Source organism: Homo sapiens, chromosome X (genome assembly GCF_000001405.40).
Source record: "Homo sapiens chromosome X, GRCh38.p14 Primary Assembly".
In the NCBI taxonomy this organism is placed as follows: domain Eukaryota; kingdom Metazoa; phylum Chordata; class Mammalia; order Primates; family Hominidae; genus Homo; species Homo sapiens.
Genome location: NC_000023.11, coordinates 27393425 through 27400426, shown reverse-complemented (window position 1 = coordinate 27400426; position 7002 = coordinate 27393425). Strand labels below are relative to the sequence as shown.

Sequence of the window (7002 nt, the reverse complement as noted above, 5' to 3'; positions counted from 1 at the left end):
ATGAATTTATTCTTGGATGAAACTCAGTTTGTTCCTGTGTATTACAGTAAATATATCTCGGGTTCAGTTTGTTAGACATACTTTTTTCTTCTTATTTTGCATTTGGTGATGAAAGACAAACCTTTTATTTTCTTTTCCTATAACATCTTGTCAGTTTGGTATAAAGTTCGTATGAATCTCATTAAACATTTGTTCGGGAATATTTTTACTGTTTCTATTTTCTAGAGAATTTTGTACAAGATTGGTGTTGTTTCTTTCTCAATTGTATGAAAAGGTTCACAACTTCCTGTACTAAGGTATAAAATTCATTTACAGGAAGGTTTCTCATTACAGACACAATTTATTTAATACATATATTGCTATCCAGATTTCCTAAGTTTTCTTGTTTTGTTGTGTTTTCCTTTAAATTTTACCATTTTCTCTCATTTCAAATTTATTGGATACAATTGCTTGTAATTTTATGTCTATGTTTCTAGAATGTGTAATGATGACCGTTTTACTCCTTGTAAGAATACTGTGTGCCTCCTCTTTTTGTCTATATCAATCTTGCTAGGTGTTTATCAATTTTACTAACAATTTTAAAAGAGGCAACTTTTGGTTTTGTTGATATTCTCTTTGTATTTTTAAAAAATCATTAGATTTTGATTTTAATGATTTTTTAAATTTCTTCATTTTACATTACCATTTTTCCACATTCTTGTGATGAGTAATCAGAGCCTACATTTTTCCAGAATTTTCTCCTTTGCATTTAATGGAGTAACTTTTCTTTAGATGCGTGTTGAGGTGCATCTCACACATTTGAAAACAGATTTAACAAAGTATAATTGACAAACAATAAACTGCTCAACTTTAAAATGTGTAATGTGATACAATTTGTCATATGCATATATTCATGAAATTATCAACACAATCAATACAATGAACATAACAGTTACTTGCCAAAATTTTACTATGAAATTGTGTGATCACCCCTCCTGACTCTTTTTAAATTCAGTTTCATTATTAATATACTTTGTTTCAAAGTTGATCATCTTTTCATTTTTTTTTCCTGTTTTTCCTATCTCTTGTTTTTCCCTTTCTCTATTTGTACCTACTTTTGTGTTTATTGAATGTTTCTTATTATTCCATTTAAATTCCTCTTTTGGATTTTTATCTGTGGCACTTTGAAAACACATCCACATATTCTTTGACACATCTTCCTTCAAAGGATTGAGTTTATAGCCCCTACCTGGATTTTGGACCAAGCTTAGTAATGCTTTTGTAACCAATACACTGAGACAGTTGCGATACTACATAAATTCCCAGGCTGAAATTCCAACCAACTGACATTACTATCTTCCACCAGCAGAGGGAGCCACCCTGGCCCTGCATCCCAGTGCTCTTCTGGCATTCCAGATATTCTCAGTTTCCATCGCACGCCACTTCCCTCAGCCTGTAGAACTTCCGGCAGCAACTGCAATTAGGGGTAGTCCAGTGCTAAATTGTCGCAGGTGGGCTTATGTGGACACGTCTTATTTTATTCCCAGTTTGGAAAGGAAAATTTTGCTACATTTAGAATTCTATTGACTTTTTTTTTTTTTGTCTTTCAGCCTTGAAAATATTCTGCTTCGTTATTTCGGGCACTCCACAGATTCTGTTGCGAAGGCAGCCATCTTTAGTTCGTCTTTCCTAGAGAGGTAATGTATCTTTAATTCTTACGGAATTATGGAATTTTGAATTCATCTTTCCTAGAGAGGTAATATATCTTTAATACTTTTTTTCTTTTTTCTTTTTTTTTTTTTGAGACGGAGTCTGGCTTTGTGGCCCAGGCTGGAGTGCAGTGGCGCGATCTCGGCTCACTGCAAACTCCGCCTCCCGGGTTCACGCCTTTCTCCTGCCTCAGCCTCCCGAGTAGCTGGGACTACAGGCGCCCGCCACCATGCCCAGCTAATTTTTTGTGTTTTTAGTAGAGACGGGGTTTCACCGTGTTAGCCAGGATGGTCTCGATCTCCTGACCCCGTGATCCACCCGCCTCAGCTTCCCAAAGTGCTGGGATTACAGGCCCGAGCCACCACGCCCGGCTCTTTAATTCTTATGGAATTATTGAATTTTGATTTTGTACTCTACACTAATGTACTGTATATTTTATATAGATGCCTAATATGTAGCTTACTAATAAAATACATTAAAGTTTCAATACCTATTTTGAGTAGCATTTCAATCCAAATTTTTCTATATGTGTAAATAAAAAGGATAATTTATCTGATTGATAACAATAAAGCAAAGCAAAAGATAAAAAGGTACACATGAAAAATAACAAAAGCCAAACTTTTATTTCTCATGAAAACATATTAAAATATCTGTATAGATTAACTATATACGTGTTAAAACAATTTAGCACACTTACAAGCAAAGTATCTAAATTAATTGTTGTTGTAATTGTTGATGTGATACTACTGTTGAACAGGATGAGAAATTGTATGATAACACTCTTGATAAAAAATAAAGAAATGATACCTGTGTTACCTCCCGCAAATATTTTGTCTACTGTAATAATAAAATAGACAATAACATTCCTTGGAAAACATGTTCTATTGGTGAAATGATTTACATAAGGTGCATATCAGAACTAATTCAGGAACAAGGAATATATAGGATGTAGGTGAAAGTAACGAGTTTATTTATGCATATATATTTACATATACATGATATGTAATAACTTTGGTATTATAAGTATGAAGTGGTATGCTTTTTAACAAATAGTGTTATTAAAATGCATATATGATAAACAATAACCATTTTTTGGCAATTATAATAGTTAATACTAAGAGGAAATTAATAAAATATCATTTTTATATCCATTGATACCAGATTTTGAAGGGAGTATAAAATAGTACTATTTTGGAAATTAATTTATTTTTTAGCAGTATTTTAATTTGTCTACTCTTTTCCACAGCAATTGCCTTTCTATGATTATATCTGACAGGACTTGTCAATGTGCATATAACTATGGATACAAAAAGGCAGAACAGCTATTTTTAATAGAGTAAACTGTGTTCATACAATAAATGCTATGCAGATTTTATACTCAGGTAGATCTTTGACGATTACAGAATATATCTCCAAGACATATTGCTAATAAAACAGCAAGCAAATTATAATTTATTCATATGTTTTCACAGTTACATAAATGTATTATTCATGTAAATGTATATTGATATGTATATTTGTTAAATTACACACTTCACTGTTAATCATGATTACTTCCGTGAAAAGATACATATCTGCATTTTTTTCAGAATTTTATACTGAGGAGACATCTTATTTGTAAGTAATCAGGGAAAAAAACCAGTCACATGACAGCATATTATTACTAATGATTATTTTGGAGGACCTGTTTTTGTTTTTAATATATTATAGTACATGTAAGTAGTTATGCTTAAAGCCATAATTAAAACAAAGTTATAAAGGAAAGAAGTAATGAAAAAAGTAAATAAAATTTTTGTGGAGAAATAATTTAATTTAGTTGTGAACCATTTATAAGAAACAGACCTCTAATTAGTGAAATCATTAAACTAAAGGCCATAAGAAAAATTGCAAAAAAAAAATCTTTTATTGTTCCACTAGGAGTAAATGTCCAGTGTAAGCTAGAGTTTATTTAATATTCATGGGGCCCTGTTGCTATGCTATCAGAAAAAATGACAACAATAAGGTTAAAATCCTCTCAATTTTGATCTGAACAGTATATGGAAAAATACTTTAAAACTCTAACCTTGTTATGTAGGGTTTTCATGCCATTTCTCATAAAGTGTATAAACTGTTTAGTGAGAATTGCTATTCTCAGAAAAATGTGTTGAGCTTTAACTATATGGAATCTTGCTAAATGCTGTTGTTAATTCTAATGTATTACCTGTAGACTGCTTTTAGCTACTCTGGTACATAAACATAAAATCTATAAATAAGGATGGGTTTATTTCTTCCTTTCCAATCATCATGCATTTTTTTTAACATTTCCCTGAATTATTGCCCAGGTTATGAACTCCATGAAAAGCTGAATAGAAATGGTAATAGTAGGCATTCATGTCTCAATCCCCATCTCAGGATGAGGTTTTCATTATTACATCACTAATGATGATATTTCCCATAGTTTTCTGAGTCATTTTTTAATAATCATAACTGGATGGTAAATTTGCCAAATGGTTTCTCTATATTTGTTGTGACAGTGACATGATTTTGGTCCGTTGTGTTGTTAAGGAGATTATATTTCAATATGTTAAACCAATAATAATTCAAAATTGTGTTAAGCTCAGTTTGTTCACGGGGTGTTATAATTGAAAGTGTGTTTGGATTCCATTTGTCAAACATAATGATTTTTTTGTCTCATTTTGTCAGGATCCATATCAACCATTGACGGTCCTTTATTATAATATCTTCATCAGTTTTGTGTAACGTTTATAGGGATTTCACTCAACATTTTTTGGAAAGTATTCTGTGAAAGAGATTGTGCATGATTAGTATTATTTTTTTTCTGAAATTTATGGAAAAGTTCACAAAACCAGGCGTTAAACTGTGGTTTTCATTATGAACTAACGTTAATTAATACATTTAGGATAAATGAGATTTTCCTTAATTTCTTACTTTTTAAAGCTGTATCTTTCTGTAATTTTGTCTTTTTTTATAACTTCAAATATTATATAAGCATCTTCAATATCTGTAATGATGATTCACACTGTACATTCCTGGAACTGATAATATGTGTCTTCCTTTTTTTCCTTGATCAGTCTTCTCAAGATTTATAAATTTTTTAACCTTTACAAAAGAAAAAACTAAAAACAAAGCAACTTTTGGATTTGTTGATCTTTTTTCTTGAATGTTGTTAATGGATCCTAATTTTATTCTTTTATCTCAAGTATTCTTTTGGATTAAATCAAATATTTTATTCCCAAATTGTGAAGTGGTCTACCAGATTTTAAATTACCGGGATTTCCCTTTTTGCTTTTAATGCTATAATGTTTAGACACATTTTGGTGCATTCCACACATTTTTAACAGTTTTAGGTATAGGTATAGTTTATTTTAGGCATAAGATAAACTACATAACTTTAAAATAATATGTTTCAAGATACCTGTATATTTGTGAAAGCATCACCACAATTAAGATAGGGGACATATTTATCCACCACTGAGCTTTTATGGGCACCCTTAGGATTTCCCTGTTTCTGATTCTTCCCAAGGCTCTGTCATTTTCCATGCTGTGAATATTTTGATACACATTTTTGTGCACACATCCATCTTCATTTTTCTTGGATATGCATCAATGAATGGAATGGTTGAGTCACACGATATGAACATCTTTAAGATATTTTAGAAAATATCGAAGTGTTTTGTAATGTAATTGTATGATTTTATACCCTACCAGTAGTGTGTGAGCTGCAAAGTTGCTTTACATCTTTGCCAGCAGCTGATAAGGTCAGTATTTTTTATTGTAACCTTCTCTTTAGTGTGTAATGGTATCTCAGTGCCACGTTAAATTGCGTGGGTCAAGTCATTGTTCTTTCTGTCCCAGGCATTCCCAGCAAACGGAGAAAATGGTTCACTAGCCAGATGCTAATCCTTTTCTTCCCATTCATATATTGCATATATATTTTGAATTGCATGTAGCAATATATATATATTTTTGAGACAGGGTCTCACTCTGTCACCCAAGCTGGAATGCAGTGGTGTGATCACGGCTTATGGCAACCTCTGCCTCCTGGGCTCAAGAGAGCCTCCCACCTCAGCCTGCAGAGTAGCTGGGATTACAGGCGCCTGCCACCATGTCCAGCTCATTTTCTCTTTATATTTTTTGTAGAGACGAGGTTTTCTCATGTTGTCCAGGCTGGTCTTGAACTCCTGGGCTCAAGCGATCCACCAGCCTCAGCCTCTCAAAGTGTTGGGATTACAGGCTTCAGCCACCACGCCTGGCCGCATGTAGGAATTTATATGTGAAATATGGGAGGCTGAGGCAGGTGGATCACTTGTGGCCAGGAACTGGGGACCAGTCTGGCCAACATGGTGAAACCCTGTCTCCGCTAAAATTACAAATATATATATATATCCGGGCGTGGTGGCATTCACTTGTACTCCCAGCTACTCAGGAGGTTGAGGCAGGAGAATCACTTGAACCCGGGAGGCAGAGGTTGCAGTGAGCCGAGATCACGCCACTGTACTCCAGCCTGGGCAACAACAGAGTGAGACCCTGTCTCAAAAAAAAAAAAAAGGAAAGAAAGAAAAAGAAAGAGAGAAAGAGAGAAAGATTATAGTATTATAGTGATAATTGGAGGTTCTAGGTGATTTTTTTTTTTTTTGAGGCAAAGTCCTGTGTCGCCCAGGCTGGAATGTAGCAATGCAATTATAGCTCACTGCAGCCTCAAACTCCTGGGCTCATGTGATTCAGCCATCTCAGCCTCCTGTGCAGCTAGAATAACAGGCATGTGCCACCATGCCCAACTAATTTGTTAAAATTTTGTAGAGATGGGGTCTCCCTATATTGCCCAGGCTGGTCTCGAACTCCTGGTCTCAAGCAGTCCTCCCACCTCAGCCTCCCAAAGTTCTGGAGTTACAGGTGTGAACCACTGCACCCAGTTCTGGGTGATTTTATCTTTCTCCATGGAGCATTTTATTTTGCTTTTGGGAGGCAGTTAGGTATTGAGTCTTTTGAAGCTGGGTCTCAGATTTGTGAGTAGTTTTGTGTTTTGGGGTCATATTGACAGTTAGAGTATAGCCTCTTAAGGATGTCAAATTCATCGCTGTTGTTTACCACATCCTTTCTGCCAGGGTGGGCCATAAACCCAATTTGTGTCCCTTGGGCTGGTGATTCTGCTGGAAATCCTGATCAGCTGCTTAGCTTTTCAGCCGCAACTTTGTTGTAAGTATTTTAGTTTCTCAGTCATCTTCTTTGAATCACCAAAAAGCTTGTGGAGAAAACGGTACCAAAGTTGGGTCTCACCACGTGGGCTTCTCTTCTGAGATTCAGTCTCTTCAA

General features: G+C 34.4%; 1 long non-coding RNA gene across 1 annotated transcript in view, besides 1 other annotated feature; it reads left to right on the top strand.

Annotated features, from left to right (window-relative positions):
• Window positions 1241-1535: an enhancer, noted in NCBI's record as "tiled region #13349; HepG2 Activating DNase unmatched - State 1:Tss, and K562 Activating DNase matched - State 12:CtcfO". NCBI's record gives its function as "activates a minimal TATA promoter and a strong SV40 promoter by Sharpr-MPRA in HepG2 and K562 cells {active_cell/tissue: HepG2 | K562}" and the evidence as "EXISTENCE:reporter gene assay evidence [ECO:0000049][PMID:27701403]".
• The window catches only part of LOC105373150 (uncharacterized), a 246359-nt gene continuing 240791 nt past the window's right edge, over window positions 1435-7002 (top strand). The window contains exons 1-2 of the long non-coding RNA NR_188591.1: window positions 1435-1490; window positions 1590-1676. This is a non-coding gene — a long non-coding RNA (uncharacterized LOC105373150). The remainder of the gene's footprint in view (window positions 1491-1589; window positions 1677-7002) is intronic.